Genomic DNA, 23,075 nt, shown 5'->3' with positions numbered 1-23,075 from the left:
CTTTGCAAGGACATGGATGAAGCTGGAAGCCATCATCCTCAGCAAACTAACACAGGAGCAGAAAACCAAACACCACATGTTCTCACTCATAAGTGAGAGTTGAACATTGAGAACACATGGACACAGAGAGGAAAACAACACAAACCAGGACCTGGTGAGGGGTGGGGGGTGAGGGGAGTGAACTTAGAGGATGGGTCAATAGGTGTGGCAAACCACCATGCCACATGTATACCTATGTAACGAACCTGCACATTCTGCACATGTATCCTGTTTTTTTTTTTTTAAGAAATAAAGAAAAAAAAATGAGATCTCACTACCTACCTATTAGAATGGCCAAAATTTAGAACACTGACAACACAAAATGCTGGTGAAGCTGGGAGCAACGGAAACACTCATTCACTGATGGTGGGAATCCAAATTGTACTGACACTTTGGAAGAAAGTTTAGTGATTTACAACACTAAACATTCTTACTATATGATGTAGTAATCACACTGCTTGGTATTTACTCAAAGGCGTTGACAACATGTCCACACAAAAACCTGCATATGGGTGTTTATATTAATAGCAGCTTTATTCATAATTGCCAAAACTTGGAAGCAACCAAGATTTCCTTTGGTAGATGAATTGTTAAATAAACTGTGGTACATACAGACCTTAGAATACTATTCAGCACTAATAAGAAATGAGCTATAAAGCCATAAAATGACATTGAAGGAATTTAAATGCATGTTATTAAATGACAAAAGCCAACCTGAAAATTATACATAGTGTACGATTCTAAATATATGTCATTCTAGAGAAGGCAAAACTGAGGACAGTAAAAAGACCAGCAGTTACCAGGCAATGGGGGGAGAAAAGGGTGAATAGGTGGAGCACAGAGGATATTTAGGGCAGTGAAACCCCTGTCTATGGCACCATAATGATGAATACATTGCACTATAAATATGTCCAAAGTCATAGATTGTACGACACCAAGAGTGGACCCTTTATAGACACATCCACCCCTTCTCCCCCATTTCTCATTCATGACAACCACTAATCTGATCTCCATATCAACAACTGTGTTATTTCATAAATGTTATTTAAATAGAATCATGCCATATGTATCCCTTTGAGATTTTTTTTCACTTAGCATAATTTCCTTGAGAGTCTTGTCATAACATAGTGAGTATCATGATTGTCATGGTGGTTACATGAAGCTCCACATAAGATATAGCTCTATGAAAATAGAGCTATAAACAGACACGTACATACACACACTATATACACACAAATGAGTGCATATATAACTGGTAATAAGTGAAAAAGCTCTATAATTTGTACTAAGTTGGGCTTCCTGGTTCTGATAATGTACTATAGTTATAGAAGATGTTGACAATGAAATGGGCTGAGTAAAGGGTGCACAGAACCTCTCTGTACATTTTTTTACAACTATAATGTGCAATGTATAATTGTTTCAAAATAAAATAATCTTTTCAAAATAAGTTGGAAGAAAATTTCAGTCCAGACAAGATAATGTAGACCTGTTTTTGCCCTGTTTCTCCCCATTAAGTCCAACTATACATTCTAAAAGTGGTATAAGAGACAATGAAGGTAGAAGTCTTAAAGGTGTTTAGGAGGCGAGCTTGTTTTGGACTGCAGATCTGGAAAACAGGGCATCTAGGTACCCACCCAACAGATGGTCACACAGGCCTGGTGTCTTTTAACTCAGCAACAGTAGGCAATACATGTGGGTTATTCCTGCCCCAAATGGAATGAGAGTCCCTACAATGACATCAGGTAAGCCAAATATCAACAGTAAGGGGAGACCCATTAGGAGTCTCACCAAAAATATGCATCCAGGAAAAACACTCTCCTTCTCTGCCTGGTTGAAGATTCTCTCTTTCTGCCAAGAGAAACCCAGGTGGGTGAGTGGAAATCGCAAGAGAGATACAGCAGTTCATTCTGAGGAGCCACTTTGTGATTGCAGGCCCAAAACTCTCCTCCCCTACCGAAAGACTCAGATATAGTGGGCAGAAACAACAAGGAGGATCCAGCTATAGCAAGCCTCCTGATCTGGGAAGCCTGGGCAGTAAACAAGTTAAAAAAGAAAGGAAGAAAGAAAGAAAAGAAAAGAAAGGCAACTAACAACAACCAAAAAATGGCCAGGTGTGGTGGCTCATGCCTGTCATCCCAGCATTTTGGGAGGCTGAGGTAGGTGGATCACCTGAGGTTGAGAGTTCAAGACCAGACTGACCAACATGGATAAACTCCGTCTCTACTAAAAATACAAAACTAGCTGGGCATGGTGGTTGGCACCGTAATCCCAGCTACTCAGGAGGCTGAGGCAGGAGAATCGCTTGAACCCGGGAGATGGAGGTTGTGGTTAGCCAATATCGCACCATTGCACTCCAGCCTGGGCAACAAGAGCAAAACTACTTCTCAAAAAAAAAAAAAAAAAAAAGGCAACAACTATAAAAAGCAATAAAATTATGAAATGCGTGAAGAAAATGATTAGACATTTTACCGAAGAGGACACACAAATGGCAAATAAGTACATCAAAATCAAAAGATTTTCAAAATCATTAGCCACCAGGGAAATTCAAATTAAAACCACAATAAGATATCACTACACTTCTAGCAGAATGGCAAAAATGAAAAAATATAGGACCACCACCAAATGTGGGCAAGAATATAGAGAAACTGGATCGCCTGTGCATTGCTGGTGAGAATGTAAAATATTACAGCCTCTCTGATAAACAGTTTGTTATGTTCTCATAAAACTAAGTATGCAACTAAATAGGTCCCAGAAGTTATACCCTTGCACTTTTGTCCCAGAGAAATAAAAACCTATGTTTACACAAAAATGTAAACATGAATGTTCATAGTAATTTCATCCAAAATAGCCTCAAACTGAAATCAACCCGTGTATCATTCAACAGGTGAATGGTTAAACACACTATGGTACATTCATAGTATGGAATATATTACTTAGCAATAAAAAAGATTGAACTATTTATGCATCAACAATTTGAATAAATTTCCAGGTAATTACTCTGAGTCGGGAAAAAAAGCCAGTCCTAAAAGCTCATATACTGTGTGATTTCATTTATATAGCAGTTTTGAAATGACAAAAATTTAGACATGGGGGGCATATTATGGGGCAGGGGAGAAGAAGGGAGAAAGATATTTAGGGTATATAAGAGATAGCATATTATTAATATAAAAGACTAACAGGAGAGATTCTTATGTTGGAACTTTCAGGGTCTTGATTGTGGTGGTGGATAAATTAACCTACATGTAGGTAACTGTATAAAACTGAACACACACACAAATACAAATGTAAATGGGAAAATTTGAATAAGATCAGTGTATTGTATCAATATTAACATCTTAGTTGTGATATTATATTATTTCCTCACAAAATGTTACCATCAAGGAAAATGAACAAAATTTACATGGGATCTCTCTGTACTATTTTACAAAACTGCATGTGAATCCACAAATATTACAATAAATATTTCAACCACAAAAAAATCAAAGACCCATCATTAAAATAGAATTGGAAACGAATTCAGATGCAAAGTTTCAAATCTGCTGCGCTTTTCTGTCTCCCATGAGCTCTGTAAAGCAAGATGATCTTGAAAAGCCAGCATCCAACAACAGCGTTTTTTTTTATTTGTCCATTCCTAGCTATTTGAATTATGTCTTCCTAACGAACAGAACTGCAGACATTGACTTCTTCTTATCTGTCCTTGTTATTCTGTTCTAACCACTAAGACTACTTTAGACATCCCTGGAAATGCCTGTACTTTCTCACCTCAGGGTCCTTGCATTTACTGTTCCCTTTACCTGGTTACCTCTTCCTTCAGTCATCTGCACACCTTGCTTCCTTACTTCCTTCAAATCTCTGCTTAAAAGTCACCTTATCAGAGAGATTTTTCTTAAGTATGCTAAATAACAGTACACCAGTTCTCCCTAGGCAACCTTGTCTCCCTTACTGTGCTCTGTTTTTCTTCACATCACCTGTTATATCAGGTGTACTGTGCATGTGTGTTTGCTGTCTGCCTCTCTTCCTAGAATGTGTGTTCTTGAGTTCAGGGACTTTGTTTGCTGTTCCGTCCTAGCACATGGAACAGTGCTAGGCACAGAGCTGGCACAACTAAATTCATGTTGAATAAACTGTTGAATAAATAATATTCCTTTCTTCCTGCCAGGACCCTTATGAATTGAGAGTGGTCCATCATTAGGCTGTATGTAGGCGGTGGAATTGGTGAGAAAGATCTTGGGATTTTATTGTCATCTTCTAACTTATTAATATTTTTGCAAAAGCCCATCTTTTTGAATCAGAGATCACTTGTGCCATTACTTCTCTTGTTTGCGTGGTTCAGGGGATGTCAGTTGATGGATACAATTTTTTGAATTACAAGTTTTTGTATTACAAGTTTTAAATTTACAAAGAGGTGTTATTTTAATTTACAGTATTCTAGGACCCATGTGGTACAACTAGGGGCATGGTGGGGTGGGAGGTGGATCCTGACAGTTGTCTGAGTGGCTAAATCAATAACAAAACTAAGGTTTTGGCAATAATACTGTACACTGTTTCATGATGAGTTTGGATTTTTCTCTCCTATACTTTATCACAAACTAAAAAGTGCCCTGTTAGTGACTCCTAACTCCTCATTCCTCTTCTATTTCATGTGCACCCCCCTTGAGAACTTTGTAATCCAAGTTATTTTTCCTTCTTCTCTCTCTCTATAAAACTAAAAAGGAGAAGAAAATTGCTTTCCTTGACACCATTTACCTTACTCTCACCATTTGAAATTTCCTCTCCTTCTCTATTTCATACCAGCTCAGAACAATATATGGCTGCAGCTGTTATATTGGATTTCTTGTCTCTTCTCCCTGACATTTCCTACATTCCCGTTCCCTCTTATTGCTAAGGTCAGTGCTCTATTCTCTGCTTTTTCTGCACAAAACACTATCTTCCGCAGCCTCCTGCTCCAGGAGGTCTTTATGAATGTTATTGAGATTATCAGATGCCAATGATGTGAAAGGTGAAGACATTGTATTGATGTTCTTTTAGCTAATAAACCCATGTCCCCCGGGGGAGATTTTTTTTTTTATCAAATTGCTTTTCTTGGGCTTTTAAAGGACAAATGAAATTAGTTGAAACAACTGCTCAGAAACTCCAGACCTTTACAGCAACAGCTGCTGCTGATAATGAAATAGGATTTTGTTCTACACTATGTCACCATTAATCACATTTCCTAGATAAGTTCTTGACCCTCTACTCAGCCTTGTTGGAAGAGACAGTGAGCAGCACACTAGAGTTGAAAATGTAGAAGAGAGTTAACTCAGTAACTTAAATCAATTGAAGTTGTTTTTGGATTTTACACTCTGAATATGGCAATTGTAATTGATAATGTGAGCAATTCACTTCTCTATTACAAACTTGAACAATAGCCATGTTTCTAGTCTGTCTTACCTTGGACATTTTTTTAAACGAATAATAATAAAAGGTAAAATAAAATGATTGGATGTTTGTGAAGCAATTCTAACTTGGGTTAACTATTTTGTTATTCTTGAGAAAGTGTTTGGGGGACCTGGAATTTATTTATTTCTACACTTCATGTGACTAGAGGTTTCAGTCAGCATTATGGTGCAGCAAAGAGCAGACAGATCTATGCAGACAATCATATGCACTGAACTGATTTCTTAATAGTTGGACCCAATTGTCCCTCAGTAAGAAAGTTTTTTAATTAAAATTTATTTTTTAATTTTGTGAGTACATAGGTATATACATTTATAGGATACATGAGATGTTTTGACACAGGCATGCAATTTGAAATAAGCTCATCGTGGGGAATGGGGTATCCATCCACTCAAGCATTTCTCCTTTGAATTACAGACAATCCAATTACACTCTATTTAAAATGTACAATTATTATTGACTAGAGTCACCCTATTGTGCTATCAAATAGGTCTTATTCATTTTTATAACTTTTTTTGTACCCATTAACTATTCACACCTTCCCCATCCGCCCCCCAACAAGCCACTCACTACCCTTCCTAGGCTCTGGTAACCATCTTTCTACTCTCTATGTCCATGAGTTCTGTTGTTTTGATTTTTAGATCCCACAAATAAGTGAGAACATGTGATGTTTGTCTTTCTGTGCCTGACCTGTTTCACTTAGCATAATGATCTCCAATTTCATCCCTAGTGTTGTAAATGACTGGATCTCATTCTTTTATGGCAGAATAGTACTCTATTGTGTATACATACCTCATTTTCTTTATCCAGTCATCTGTTGATGGACACTTCGGTTTCTTCCAAATCTTAGTTATTGAAAACAGTTCTGCAACAAACATAGGTGTGCAGATATCTCTTCAATATACTGATTTCCTTTCTTTTGAATATATACTCAGCAGTGGGAATGTTGGATCATATGGTAGCTCAATTTTTAATTTTTCTGAGGAACAACAACACTGTTCTCCACAGTTGTTATACTAATTTATATTCCCACCAATAGTGTTCCCTTTCCTCCATATTCTTGCCAGCATTTGTTATTGCCCGTCTTTGGATAAAAGCCATTTTAACTGGGGTGAGATGACATCTCATTGTAGTTTTGATTTGCATTTTTCTAATGATCAGTGATGTTGAGCACCTTTTCATATGTATATTTGCCATTTGTATGTCTTCTTTTGAGAAATGTCTATTCAAATTTTTGTCCATTTTATTGGATTATTGAACATTTTCCTAGAGTTGTTTGAGCTCCTTATGTATTCTGGTTCTTAATCCCTTGTCAGATGGGTAGTTTGCAAATATTTTCTCCCATTCTGTGGATTGTCTCTTCATTTTGTTGATTGATTGTATTCTTTATTGTGCAGAAGCTTTTTAACTTGATGTGATCCCATTTGTGCACTCTTGATTTGGTTGCCTGTGTTATTGCCATTTGTGCACTCTTGCTTTGGTCGCCTGTAGGGTATTGCTCAAGAAATTTCTGCCAAGACCAATGTCATGGAGATGTTCCCCAATGTTCTCTTGTAGTAGTTTTATAGTTTGACATCTTAGACTTACATCTTTAATTCATTTTTATTTTATTTTTGAATATGGTGATATGTGTCTAGTTTTATTCTTTTGCTTATGGATATTCAGTTTTCTCAGCACCATTTACTAAAGAGACTATCTTTTCCCCAGTGTATGTTCTTGCATCTTTGTCAAAAATGAGTTCACTGTAGTTGTATGAATGTTTCTGGGTTCTTTATTCTGTTCCATTGATCTATGATGTCTGTTTTTAGGCCAGTGCCATGCTGTTCTGGTTACTATAGCTCTATAGTATAATCTGAAGTCAGGTAATGTTATTCCTCCAGTTTTGTTCTTTTTGCTTAGCATAGCTTTGCCTATTCTGTGTCTTTTGTGGTTCCACATAAATTTTAGGATTTTTTTTTTATTTGTGTGAATAATATCATTGGTATTTTGATAGGAGTTACATTGAATTTGTAGACTGCTTTGGGTAGTATGGACATTTTAATAATATTGATTACTCCAATCCATGAAAATTGATGTTTTTCCATTTTTTGATGTCCTCTTCAATTTCTTTCATGGGTTTTTTATAATTTTTAATATAGAGAGCTTTCACTTATTTGGTTAATTCCAATGTAGTTAATTTTATGAGTGGCTATCATGAATGGGATTATGTTTTTACTTCCTTTTTACATTGTTCACTGTTGGCATGTGGAAATGCTACTGATTTTTGTATGTTGATTTTGTACCCTGTAACTTTAATGAATTTATCAGTTGTAATAGTTTTCCTGTGGGGTCTCTAGGTTTTTCCAAATATAAGATCATATTATCTGCAAACCAAGATAATTTGACCTCTTCCTTTCCAATTTGGATGCCCTTTATATCTTTTTCTTGTCTGATTGCTCTAGCTAGGAGTTTCAGTACTAAGTTGAATAATAGTGCTGACAGTGAGCATCATTGTTATGTACCAGATCTTAGAGGAAAGGCTCTCAGTCTTTCCTCATTCAGTATAATACTAGCTGTGGGTCTGCTGTATATGGCTTTTATTATGTTGAGGTACATTCCTTCTATCCCCAGTTTTTTAGGGATTTTTATCATAAAGAGATGTGAAATTTTATTAAATGCTTTTCCAGCATCAATTAAAATGGTCATATGGTTTTTATCCTTCATGTTTTTGATAAGACGTATCACATTGATTTGCATATGTTGAATTATCCTTGTATCCCAGGGATAGATCCTACTTGATCATGATGAAAGATCTTTCTAATATATTAAATTTGGTTTGATAGTATATTGTCGAGGATTTTTGCATCAATATTCATTAGAGATATTGGCCTGTAGTTTTCTTTTTTTTGCTGTGTCTTTGTCTAGTTTTCATATCAGGGTAATACTGGCCTTGCAGAATTTGGTAATATTCCTTCCTCTATTTTTTGGACTAGTTTGAGTAGTACTGGTATTAATTCTTTAAATGTTTGGTAGAATTCAGCAATGAAGCCATCAGGTCCCAGGCTTTTCTTTAATGGACAACTTTTTTTTTTTTTTTTTGAGATGGATCCTCACTCCATCACCCAGGCTGGAGTGCAGTGGTGCGATCTCAGCTCACTGTAAGCTCTGTCTCCTGGGTTCCTGGGTTCACATGAGTCTTCTGCTTCAGCCTCCCAAGTAGCTGGGACTACAGGTGCCCACCACCATGCCCAGCTAATTTTTTGCTATTTTTAGTAGAGATGGAGTTTCACCGTGTTGACCAGGCTGGTCTCAAACTCCTGACCTCAAGTGGTCCACCTGCCTTGGCCTCTCAAAGTGCTGGGATTACAGGCATGAGCCACTGCACCTGGCTGACAACTTCTTATTATGGCTTAGATCTTGTTTCTTGTTGGTCTTTTCAGGTTTTTGATATCTCCCCAGTTCAATCTTGGTAGGTTGCATGTATCTAGGAATTTGTTCATTTCTTCTAGAGTTTCCAATTTATTGTCATATAGTTGTTCATAGTGGCCAATAATGATCTTTAGAATTCCTGCAGTGTCAGTTGTAATGTCTCATTTTTCATTTTTGATTTTATTTACTTGGATTGTCTCTCTTTTTTTCTTAGTCTGGCTAAAGGATTGTCAATTTTGTGTAACTTTTCATAAAAACCACTTTTTGTTTTGTTGGTATTTTGTATTTTTTCATTTTAATTTCATTTAATTCTGCTCTGATCTTTATTATTTCTTCTACTAATTTTAGATTTGGCTTGCTCTTCCTTTTCTAATCCTTTAAAATGAATTGTTAGAGTGTTCACTTAAAGTATTTTCCCTTTTTGGATGAGGCACTTACAGCTACGAACTTCCCTCTAAGTATTGCTTTTGCTGTATCCCATAGGTTTTGGTATGTTGTGTTTCCATTATCATTTGTTTCAAGAAAGTTTTTAATTTTCTTCTTAATCTCTTCATTGACCCACTGGTCATTCAGAAACATATTGTTTAATTTCCATGTATTTGTATAGTTTCCAAAATTCCTCGTTATTAATTTCTAATTTTATTGCCTTGTGGTCAGAAAATATGCTTGATATTATTTCAATTTTTTGAATGTTTTAAGACTTGTTTTGTGACCTAACATATGGTCTTTCTTTAGGAATGATCTATATGCTGAGGAAAAGAATGTGTATCCTGCAGCTCTTAGATGAAATGTTCCGTAAATACCTACTAGATCCACTTGGTCTACAGTGCAGATTAATTCTGATGTTTCTTTATTGTTTCTTTCTGTCTGGAAGATCTGTCCAGTGCTGAAAATGAGTGACTGAAGTCTCCATCTATTATTGTATTGGAGCCTATCTCTCTCTTTAGCTCGATAATGTTTCCTTTACATATCTAGATGCTATAGTGTTGGGTGCATATATATTTAAAATTGTTATATCTTCTTTCTGAATTGACTCCTTTATCCTTATATGGTGACCTTCCTTGTCTCTTCTTATAGTTTTTGTTTTAAAAGCTATTTTGTTTGATATAAGTATAGTGAGTCTTACTTTTAAAAAATTTCTACTAGCATAGAACACCATGTTCCATCCCTTTATTTTCAGACTATGTAGTCTTAATAAGTGAAATGTGTTTCTTGTAGGCAACAGATCAATGGGTCTTGTTTTTTCATACATTCAGCCAGTCTATGTCTTTTAATTAGAGAGTTAAGTCCATTTACAATCAATGTTATTATTGATAAGTAAGAACTTACTCTTACCATTTATTTATTTGTTTTCTGGTTGTTTTATAATATTCTGTTTCTTTTTTCTTTCCTTCCTGTCTGCCTCTACTGAAGGTTATTTTCTCTTGTGATATGATTTTTTCCTTGCTTTTCATATCTTTTGTGTAACCTTTATACATTTTTTGGTTTGAAGTTACCATGAGGCTTATGAATACTATCCTATAACCCATTATTTTAACCTATTAACAATTTAACACTATTTTCATTAACAAACAAGCAAGCAAGCAAAGAGAAAACTAATAAAAACTCTGTATCAGTCTGCTTTCATGCTGTTGATAAGGACATACCCGAGACTGGGAAGAAAAAAAAAGGTTTAATGAACCTACAGTTCCACGTGGCTGGGGATGCCTCACAATCATGGGAGAAAATGAAATGCACATCTCACATGGCAGCAAACAAGAGAAGAGAGATTGTGCAGGGAAACTCCCCTTATATAATCATCAGATCTTGTGAGACTTACTCCTATGATGAGAACAGCACAGGAAATACTTGATCTTATTATTTAATTACCTCTCACTGGGTCCCTCCCACAACACATGGGAATTCAGATGAGATTTGGGTGGGAGCACAGCCAAATCATATCAAACTCTATGCCTTAACTTTGTCTCCCCACCTATTAACTTTACATTGTTTCTATTTATATCTTACTGTACTATGTCTTGAAAAGTTGTTGTATTTATTATTTTTGATTGGTTCATTTATTCTTTCTACTTATGATGAAAGTAATTTACACATCACAGTTGCAGCATTATAATATTCTCTGTTTTTCTGTGTACTTATTACCTGTTTGTACTGTACCTTCAGATGATTATTTATTGCTCATTAATATACTTTTAATCTGATCAAAGTACTTTACCATTTTTTTTTTTTTTTTTGAGATGGAGTCTCGCTCTGTCATCCAGGCTGGAGCACAGTGGCATGACCTCAGCTCACTGCAAGCTCCGCCTCCCAGATTCACGCCATTCTCCTGCCTCAGCCTCCCGAGTAGCTGGGACTACAGGCGCCTGCCACCACGCCTGGCTAATTGTTTTATATTTTTAGTAGAGACAGAGTTTCACCGTGTTAGCCAGGATGGTCTCGATCTCCTGACCTCATGATCCGCCCGTCTCAGCCTCCCTAAGTGCTGGGATTACAGGCGTGAGCCAGCATTTTTTTATTGGACAGGACTGGCATTAATGAAATCCCTCAGCTTTTGTTTTTCTGGGAGTATCTTCATTTCTTCTTCATGTTTGAAGGATATTTTCACAGATATACCCTTTTAGGGTAAAAGTTATTTTCCTTCAGCATTTTAAATGTGTCATGCCACTCTCTCCTGGCCTGAAGGATTTCCACAGAAAAGTCTGCTGCCCGACATATTGGAGCTCCATTGTTTGTTATTTGTTTCTCTTGCTGCTTTCAGAATTCTTTATCCTTGACTTTTGGGAGCATGATTATTAAATGCCTTGAAGTAGTCTTCTTTAAGTTAAATCTGCTTGGTGTTTTATAATCTTCTTGTACTTGGATATTGATATATTTCTCTAGGTGTGGGGAGTTCCCTGTTGTTATCCCTTTCAATAAACTTTCTACCACTATCTTTTTCTACCTCCTCTTTAAGGCCAATAACTCTTAGATTTGCCCATTTGAGGCTATTTCCTAGATCTTGTAGGCATGTTTCATTGTTTTTTTTTTTTATTTTGCCTTATTTGACCATGTATTTTCAAACAAAAACCTGCCTTAAAACTCACTACTTCTTCCACTTGATAAATTCTGCCATTAAAAGGCTCTGATGTATTTTTCTGTATACCAATTACATTTTCAGCTCCAGAATTTCTGCTTGATTACTTTTAATTATTTCAATCCTTTTGTTAAATTTATCTGGTAGAATTCTAAGATTTTTCTGTGTTATCTTGAATTTCTTTGAGTTTCCTCAACACAGATATTTTTAATTCTCTGACTAAAAGGTCATAGATCTCTGTTTCTCTAGGATTTGTCCCTGGTGCCTTATTTAGTTCATTTGGTGAGGTCATATTTTTCTGGATGATGTTGATGCTAGCAGATGTTCTTCACTGTCTGGGCATTTAAGAGTTAGGTATCTATTATAATCTTCACTATCTGGGCTTATGTGTAGCCATCCTTTTTGGGAAGGCTTTCCAGATATTTGAAAGGACTTGATCTAAGTGTTGTGATCTAAGTGTGGTGATCTAAGATGCATTAGGTTGGTGCAAAAGTAATTGCAGGTTCTGCCATTATCTTTAATTACGGGGCACCCTAAGCCCAGTAATCCTGTGGTTCTTGTAGACTTGTAGAGGTATCACTGTGATTATCCTGAATCAGATCTGGGAAAATTATCTAAATTATCAGGCAGGGACTCTTGTTCTCTTCTCTTACTTTCTTCCAAACATACAGAGTCTCTCTCTCTCTCTCTCTCTCTCTCTCTCTCACTGTTCTGAGCCACCTAGAGCTGACGGTGAAATTACACAAGCACCCCTGTTGCCAGCACCATTGTGACTGTGCTGGGTCAGACCTGAATCCAGCACTTGAATCCAATACCTGCTGTAAACACTCCCTTCCTACTGCCTATGTTCACTCAAGGCCCTGGGACTCTATAATCAGCAAATGGCAAAGCCAGCCAGGCCTGTGTTCTTTCCTTCAGGGCAGCAAGGTAACCAGGCCCTGGGTGGGTGCAGAAGTGCTGCCTGGGAGTCAGGGAATAGAGTCAAAAAACTTAGAAGTCTACCTGGTGTTCTATCTTGTGGCAACTGAGTTGGCACTTAAACCACAAGCTGTGGGCCTTCCCACTCTTCCCTCCCCTTTCCAAAGGCAAAGGATCCGTACCCCATAGCCCCATAGCCACCACCATCCTGGGCCATGAGGAGTACTGCCAGAATACTGCTGATGCTCCCTTAAGGCCCAAGGTCTCTTAAGTCACCTTGTTGTGAATGCTGTCTTCTCAACCAGAAGGAGTTTGCCCCATAGCCACTACTGCTGAGAATCCCTGGAAGCCAGCAAGCCTCAGAGGCTTGCTGTAGGACCTGGGTACTACTTCTGGTTATTCTGGACCCACAGGCTCTTCAGTTACCAGGGGATGAATACTGCCAGGTATTGGGTCCTTTCCTTCAAGGCAGTGGGTTCCCTTCAGGCCCAGGGTGTGTCTAGAAATGTCATCTGGGATCTGGGGCCTAGAACAAGGGCCCCACAAGTCTCACAGGTGCCCTATCCTGCTGTAGCTGAGGTGGTATCCAAGATGCAAGACAAAGCCCTCCCTACTCTTCCCTCTCCTCTTCTGAAGGGGACGGAAATAGTCTCTTTTGGAGCCATGGGCTCTGCATCCTGGGTTTAAGGAGGGGTGAGGCCAGCACACCCTTGGCTCCCCCAGTTGGTGTTTCACTATGTTGAACACCATGGTGTTATGTATCCTCTCAGTTCACTGTCTCTGGGCGTACTTCAGTACTAGCACTCACCTAAGAGTTGCATCCTTATGGCCTAGACTGCCTTTCAAGTTGACTTGGAGACACAGAGCTACAGCCCTTAGTGACTATGTTTGCAGGCACTCAAGTTTGCACTGCTAGGATGCATGATTCCTTCCTGCCTAGGGCTGGTTCAAATGCTCTGTCCATGAGTAGGCATCAGCTTAGTTTGACCCAGGTTTCCTACCTGTTCTAACAGGACAGCACTGAATTCAATGCTTTACAATCGCCGTGTTCTTCCTCCTCTAGTGCCCAGAGATGCTCTTTGTACCACACCATGGTTGCACAAGGTTGGGGAAGGGTGGCATCAGTGATTTAGGACTGTATTTTCTATATTTTTAGTGTCTGTTTCAGTGACAGGAAGTTAAAACCAAGTACTGTTAAGGGCTCACCTGATTTTTAGTTCTTATGAAAGTCTTTTATTTCTGTGTAGATAGTTGTTAACTTGGTGTCATTGCAGGGAATGTAACTGGTAGCTCTTTCTATTCCATCATCTTGCTCCTCATTCTCCTTCAGTAAGAAAATTTCAGCTTGGAGCCACTTACACACACATCAGCCACTTGCCATTGCAATTCATGTGTTGACATTGGGAGAAATCCCTGTGGTCATAAACTGCCACAACAACATCTAAGCCAGTTTGCTGAAGTTCAGCCCATAGTAAACTTTCCTCACTTCTGCAAAGACAGAAGGCAAAGATGATTCTGGGAAAAAAACTCCCACCCTAATACTGTGCTTTTCCAATGGGCTTAACAAACGGCACACCAGGAGATTATATCCCGCACCTTGGCTCAGAGAGTCCTACACCCATGGAGCCTTGCTCAGTGCTGGCACAGCAGTCTGAGATCAAACTGCAAGGCGGCAGGGAGGCTGGGGGAGGGGTGCCCGCCATTGCTCTGTCTTGAGTAGGTAAACAAAGCTGCCAGGAAGCTCCAACTGAGTGAAGCCCACCACAGCTCAAGGAGGCCTGCCTGCCTCTGTAGGCTCCACCTCTGGGGGCAGGGCACAGACAAACAAAAGACAGCAATAACCTCTGCAGACTTAGATGTCCCTGTCTGACAGCTTTGAAGAGAGTAGTGGTTCTCCCAGCATGCAGCTTGAGATCTGAGAACAGGCAGACTGCCTCCTCCAGTGGGTCCCTGATCTCCGAGTAGCCTAACTGGGAGGCCCCCAGTAGGGACAGACTGACACCTCACATGGCCGGGTACTCCTCTGAGACAAAACTTCCAGAGGAACGATCAGGCAGCAGCATTTGCAGTTCACCAATATCCGCTGTTCTGCAGCCACTGCTGCTGATACCCAGGCAAACAGGGTCTGGAGTGGACCTCCAGCAAACTCCAACAGACCTGCAGCTGAGGGTCCTGACTGTTAGAAGGAAAACTAACAAACAGAAAGGACATCCACACCAAAAACCCATCTGTACATCACCATCATCAAAGACCAAAGGAAGATAAAACCACAAAGATGGGGAAAAAAGAGAGCAGAAAAACTGGAAACTCTAAAAATCAGAGCACCTCTCCTCCTCCAAAGGAACGCAGCTCCTCACCAGCACCGGAACAAAGCTGGATGGAGAATGACTTTGACCAGCTGAGAGAAGAGGGCTTCAGACAATCAAACTACTCTGAGCTAAAGGAGGAAGTTCGAACCCATGGCAAAGAAGTTAAAAACCTTAAGAAGTTAAAAACCTTGAAAAAAAATTAGATGAATGGCAAACTAGAATAACCAATGCAGAGAAGTCCTTAAAGGACCTGATGGAGCTGAAAACCATGGCACAAGAACTATGTGACGAATGCACAAGCCTCAGTAGCTGATTCAATCAGCTGGAAGAAAGGGTATCAGTGATGGAAGATCAAATGAATGAAATGAAGTGAGAAGAGAAGTTTAGAGAAAAAAGAATAAAAAGAAACGAACAAAGCCTCCAAGAAATATGGGACTATGTGAAAAGACCAAATCTACATCTGATTGGTGTACCTGAAAGTGACGGGGAGAATGGAACCAAGTTGGAAAACACTCTGCAGGATATTATCCAGGAGAATTTCCCCAATCTAGCAAGGCAAGCCAACATTTAGATTCAGGAAATACAGAGAACGCAACAAAGATACTCCTCGAGAAGAGCAACTAACTCCAAGACACATAATTGTCAGATTCACCAAAGTTGAAATGAAGGAACAAATGTTAAGGGCAGCCCGAGAGAAAGGGCGGGTTACCCACAAAGGGAAGCCCATCAGACTAATAGCTGATCTCTTGGCAGAAGCTCTACAAGCCAGAAGAGAGTGGGGGCCAATATTCAACATTCTTAAAGAAAAGAATTTTCAACCCAGAATTTCATATCCAGCCAAACTAAGCTTCATAAGTGAAGGAGAAATAAAATACTTTACAGACACGCAAACGCTGAGAGATTTTGTCACCACCAGGCCTGCCCTAAAACACTCCGGAAGGAAACACTAAACATGGAAAGGAACAAACAGTACCAGCCACTGCAAAAACATGCCAAATTGTAAAAACCATCAAGGCTAGGAAGAAACTGCATCAACTAACGAGCAAAATCACCAGCTAACATCATAATGACAGGACCAAATACACACATAACAATATTAACCTTAAATGGAAATGGGCTAAATGCTCCAGTTAAAAGACACAGACTGGCAAGTTGGATAAAGAGTCAAGACCCATCAGTGTGCTGTATTCAGGAAACCCATCTCACGTGCAGAGACACACATAGGCTCAAAATAAAGGGATGGAGGAAGATCTACCAAACAAATGGAAAACAAAAAAAGGCAGGGGTTGCAATCCTAGTCTCTGATAAAACAGACTTTAAACCAACAAAGATCAAAAGAGACAAAGAAGTCCATTACATAATGGTAAAGGGATCAATTCAACAAGAAGAGCTAACTATCCTAAATATATATGCACCCAATACAGGAGCACCCAGATTCATAAAGGAAGTCCTTAGAGACCTACAAAGAGACTTAGACTCCCACACAATAACAATGGGAGATTTTAACACCCCACTGTCAACATTAGACAGATCAACAAGACAAAAAGTTAATAAAGATATCCAGGAATTAAACTCAGCTCTGCACCAAGCAGACCTAATAGACATCTACAGAACTCTCCACTACAAATCAACAGAATATACATTCTTCTCAGCACCACACCTATTCCAAAATTGACCACATAGTTGGAAGTAAAGCTCTCCTCAGCAAATGTAAAAGAACAGAAATTATAACAAACTGTCTCTCAGATCACAGTGCAATCAAACTAGAACTCAGGATTGAGACATTCACTCAAAACTGTTCAACTACATGGAAACTGAACAACCTGCTCCTGAATGACTACTGGGTACATAACAAAATGAAGGCAGAAATAAAGATGTTCTTTGAAACCAACGAGAACAAAGACACAACATACCAAAATCTCTGGGACACATTTAAAGCAGTGAGTAGAGGGAAATTTATAGCACTAAATGCCCACAAGAGAAAGAAGGAATGATCTAAAATTGACACCCTAACATCACAATTAAAAGAACTAGAGAAGCAAGAGCAAATACATTCAAAAGCTACCAGTAGGCAAGAAACAACTAAGATCAGAGTAGAACTGAAGGAAATAAAGACACAAAAAACTCTTCAAAAAAATCAATGAATCCAGGAGCTGGTTTTTTGAAAAGATCAACAAAATTGACAGACTGCTAGCAAGAATAATAAAGAAGAAAAGAGAAGAATCAAATAGACACAATAAAAAATGATAAAGGGGATATCACCACCAATCCCACAGAAATAAAAGCTACCATCAGAGAATACTATAAACACCTCTACGCAAATAAACTAGAAAATCTAGAAGAAATGGATAAATTCCTTGACACATACACCCTCCCAAGACCAAACCCGGAAGAAGTTGAATCTCTGAATAGACCAATAACGGGCTCTGAAATTGAGGCAATAATTAATAGTGTACCAACCAAAAAAAAGTCCAGGACCAGCTGGATTCACAGCCGAATTCTACGAGAGGTACAAGGTGGAGCTGGTACCATTCCTTCTGAAACTATTCCAATCAATAGAAAAAGAGGGAATCCTCCCTAACTCATTTTATGAGGCCAGCATCATCCTGATACCAAAGTCTGGCAGAGACAAAACAAAAAAAGAGAATTTTAGACCAATATCCCTGATGAACATCGATGCAAAAATCCTCAATAAAATATTGGCAAACTGAATCCAGCAGCACATCAAAAAGCTTATCCACCATGATCAAGTGGGCTTCATCCCTGGGATGCAAGGCTGGTTCAACATATGCAAATCAATAAATGTAATCAAGCATATAAACAGAACCAAAGACAAAAACCACATGATTATCTCAATAGATGCAGAAAAGGCCTTTGACAAAATTCAACAGCCCTTCATGCTAAAAACTCTCAATAAATTAGGTATTGATGGGACGTATCTCAAAATAATAAGAGCTATTTATGAAAAACCCACAGCCAATATCATACTGAATGGACAAAAACTGGAAGCATTCCCTTTGAAAACTGGCACAAGACAGGGATGCCCTCTCTTACCACTCCTATTCAACATAGTGTTGGAAGTTCTGGCCAGGGCAATCAGGCAGGAGAAAGAAATAAAGGGTATTCAATTAGGAAAAGAGGAAGTCAAATTGTCCCTGTTTGCAGATGACATGATTGTTTATCTAGAAAACCCCATCATCTCAGCCCAAAATCTCCTTAAGCTGATAGGCAACTTCAGCAAAGTCTCAGGATGCAAAATCAATGTGCAAAAATCACAAGCATTCTTATACACCAGTAACAGACAAACAGAGAGCCAAATCATGAGTGAACTCCCATTCACAATTGCTTCAAAGAGAATAAAATACCTAGGAATCCAACTTACAAGGGATGTGAAGGACCTTTTCAAGGAGAACTACAAACCACTGCTCAAGGAAATAAAAGAGGATACAAACAAATGGAAGAACATTCCATGCTCATGGGTAGGAAGAATCAATATTGCGAAAATGGCCACACTGCCCAAGGTAATTTATAGATTCAATGCCATCCCCATCAAGCTACCAATGACTTTCTTCACAGAATTGGAAAAAACTACTTTCAAGTTCATATGGAACCAAAACAGAGCCCGCATCGCCAAGTCAATCCTAAGCCAAAAGAACAAAGCTGGAGGCATCACGCTACCTGACTTCAAACTATACTACAAGGCTATAGTAACCAAAACAGTATGGTACTGGTACCAAAACAGAGATATAGACCAATGGAACAGAACAGAGCCCTCAGAAGTAATGCCACATATCTACAACTATCTCATCTTTAACAAACCTGACAAAAACAAGCAATGGGGAAAGGATTCCCTATTTAATAAATGGTGCTGGGAAAACTGGCTAGCCATATGTAGAAAGCTGAAACTGGATCCCTTCCTTACACCTTATACAAAAAGTAATTCAAGATGGATTAAGGACTTAAATGTTAGACCTAAAACCGTAAAAACTCTAGAAGAAAACCTAGGCAATAACATTCAGGACATAGGCATGGGCAAGGACTTCATGTCTGAAACACCAAGAGCAATGGCAACAAAAGCCAAAATTGACAAATGGGATCGAATTAAACTAAAGAGCTTCTGTACAGCAAAAGAAACTACCATCAGAGTGAACAGGCAACCTACAGAATGGGAGAAAATTTTTGCAATCTACTCATCTGACAAAGGACTAATATCCAGAATCTACAATGAACTCCAACAAATTTACAAGACAAAAACAAAAAACCCCATCAACAAGTGGGCGAAGGATATGAACAGACACTTCTCAGAAGAAGACATTTATGCAGCCAAAAAACACATGAAAAAATGTTCATCATCACTGGCCATCAGAGAAATGCGAATTAAAACCACAATGAGATACCATCTCACACCAGTTAGAATGGAGATCATTAAAAAGTCAGGAAACAACAGGTGCTGGAGAGGATGTGGAGAAATAGGAACACTTTTACACTGTTGGTGGGACTGTAAACTAGTTCAACCATTGTGGAAGTCGGTGCGGTGATTCCTCAGGGATCTAGAACTGGAAATACCATTTGACCCAGCCATCCCATTCCTGGGTATATACCCAAAGGATTATAAATCATGCTGCTATAAAGACACATGCACATGTATGTTTATTGTGGCACTATTCACAATAGCAAAGACTTGGAACCAACCCAAATGTCCATCAATGATAGACTGGATTAAGAAAACGTGGCACATATACACCATGGAATGCTATGCAGCCATAAAAAAGGATGAGCTCATGTCCTTTGTAGGGACATGGATGAAGCTAGAAACCATCATTCTCAGCAAACTGTCACAAGGACAAAAAACCAAACACCATATGTTCTCACTCATAGTTGGGGATTGAATAATGAAAACACATGGACACAGGAAGGGAAACATCACACACTGGGGCCTGTTTTGGGGTGGGAGTGGGGGAGGGATAGCATTATGAGATATACCTAATGTTAAATGATGAGTTAATGGATGCAGCACACCAACGTGGCACATGTATACATACGTAACAAACCTGCACGTTGTGCACATGTACCCTAAAACTTAAATAAATAAATAAAAAAGAAAGTTAATACATATCAGATACACACAGTGTATGGCACATGCACTGTTTTATTTAATCCTTTCTCCTTAATATTACACTGAAAATACAAGCCTGGGTAACTTTAGGAGTTTTGAGTAGGTTGTATAGATATTTGGCTATTTATATATTCTCCTCATTTTGGAGCTGAAAAGGTGGAGGCTCAGAAAGGTTAAGTAACTTCCCCAAGGTTACCGACCTACAAAGTGCCACCTAATTTCCCCAAATTCTTAATATTGAAGAACTCTAATGATTCCCACTTTCTATCAACATCATTTCATTGGTGATCTCATCCAGTCTCATGACTCCAAATACCATCTGTATGCTGATAACTCCAAGTTTTTAACTCCAGCCCAAGCCCCTGTCCTACAGCTAGGTCGTGGCATGTTACTTAGTTTAGCCACTGAGATATAGAATGATGTCTTTCAGGAGGGTTTTGAAAAATAGTTTCCTATCTGAGAGAGAGATGCATGAGGACAACTGCTGGCCCCAACTTATTTTTTAAAAACATTGTTTTATAAGGATTTGGTGACCATTATGTGATTCTTTTCAACACACTTAGTTTGACAGAGTGGAAAGATGGGGACACTCTGGGTCTTTGATAACTATTGAGCCAATAAATCACTCCATGACTATTGTCCTGAAGACTGTTTATTATGTAGGAGAATGTTAAATCCCGGTTGTTTAAGTCTTTTTTTACTTGAATAGTCTGCCATCTGTACCTGAAAGTAATCTTGACTACAAAGGCCATCATAATGATTATTCAGAGACTGTGTCTAGTCACCCCAGCTTTCTCACCATTCAATATGATTATTGTACAGCTTATTTACTAAGGAAAACTCTAAGAAAGTCCAAATATCTGCCACCCAAAGCCCTATCTGGAGGAATTAATCTCCAGGTGATTTTTTTTCTGCATTTATTTGACAAACATTCAGCACCAATTATGTGTAAGAAACTATTCAAGGCTTTGGGGCTACAGCAGCAGTGAATTAAACAGACAAGCATCCTGCCCTCATGGGTTTACATTCTCATAGAAGAATGTAACATACATGGTGTAGATTTCTAGTACTCACATATATACCATTCTCCTTTTTCTGTCCAAACACCCATACCCTTAGCAGGAAGAGTCATGTTACCAGCTCTGAGTAAGGTCTGGTGAATGGATTGTGAGCAAACCTGATATGTGCTCCTTCTCAGCCAAAACATTCTATTTTCAGTGCAACAGACAGTCTCTTTCTCTGCGTTTCATGGTTGAAAGAATATGTATTAAGATAGAGTGAGTGCCACAAGTGACCCGGACTTGAAAGTCACCTAATGGAGGACAGTTGTTCTAGAGAATCATCATGTACTTTGTACTTCGCATAAGGGAGAAACAAACTTTATTATGTTCTGCCACAAAATTTTGTAGTTGTAGTTTTAATTGTCCTAACTAATGCAATGTGTTCGATGGAATATTTGGCCATGAATCTCTTTTCAAATATAATTTTCTCAAATAAATGCAACTTGAATAAGCATTTATAAATTTTTCTCTGCAACAATTAGATTTATCCTCTTTAAACATACTTGATTTTTGGTTTAGCATGTGTGATATGGAGACACACACATATCTAACAAAATAATTACAAGTAAAATCAGATTGCGATTCTTATGTCATTGTTCACCACTTTCCTCTAAAAACATTCTCTCCTGTTCTGAAAAATCACAAGGTAATGATTATAAGAATCCGTACATTTAAAAAAATTATTCAGGATACTGGGGAAAGAAATAAAAATAAGCTAGAACAGATTTGTCAATTTTAGAATAGAAATTGGAACCAAGTAGAAGAATAGTGAACATAGTCTATTTGCTGTAGAATAATAAGTGACTCTCCACCATAATTTTTTCTGGGCTTTTTAATATGATTTTCTCTAAATGTCCCAGGAAACTAAGCACCCATCTGTCATTCCAGAGATTATTCTGTTGTGAAGAGTGTTCTTTTTCAGCTGTTTTGTAAGATATTTGTTCTATGATTTTTTCCATTTCTAATTATGTACTACTACAGTTTTTCTGCAAGATTTCAAGCACCAAATTCATCATGTTGTAACATGTTTTTAAATAGTTATTAGATTAACTCTCAATGTAACACATTTTGTATTTCATACTTCATCATTTTTCATATACTGGTAACCAGGATTTCCTGCCATCTCCCGAATGTCTCTAGGGAAAGACCTTTAGCTGTAAAAGTGAATTAATAGTAATAGTTTTTAAAATGCTCTTCTAGAGTTTCCTCAATAGGATGCCCCATTGGAAGATTGTGGGCTCCATGAACATAGAGAATAGGCATGTACCATCCATTGCTGTATTTCCCAGGCTGAGTTTAGTGTGTATATGTGGTAGGTATTCAATAAAACTTGTTATGTACTGGCACATCTCAATTACCTTTAACCATTTGCATAAATGCCACTATAAAGTACACAGAGTTGTACTTAATTAATGTAAGTGAAATTTTAAAATGAATTAATGTGTAATTTAGAGATCTCTATGAGTTGGAACTCCATTTGTTTGATTTCATGATATCCTGACCCCGTTTTCAAAAATTAGTAGCATTTTTAAGAATAATAAAAATTGAAATAAGAATTATGCTCCACACTCCTAGAAAAATAATAATTAAAAGACCTCAAAAATTATAACAGAATTCCATGCTCAGTACCACTCCTGATTCATTCGTGCCTTTACACTTTCTTTACTTTTTTGTTTCCCCTCTTTTTGCTGAAGTTGCCAAGATAGAGAAGAGAA

The sequence above is a fragment of the Homo sapiens genome, chromosome 5 (assembly GCF_000001405.40).
Source record: "Homo sapiens chromosome 5, GRCh38.p14 Primary Assembly".
In the NCBI taxonomy this organism is placed as follows: domain Eukaryota; kingdom Metazoa; phylum Chordata; class Mammalia; order Primates; family Hominidae; genus Homo; species Homo sapiens.
The sequence above is the reverse complement of the archived record's forward strand: the minus strand, read 5'-3'. Positions refer to the sequence as shown.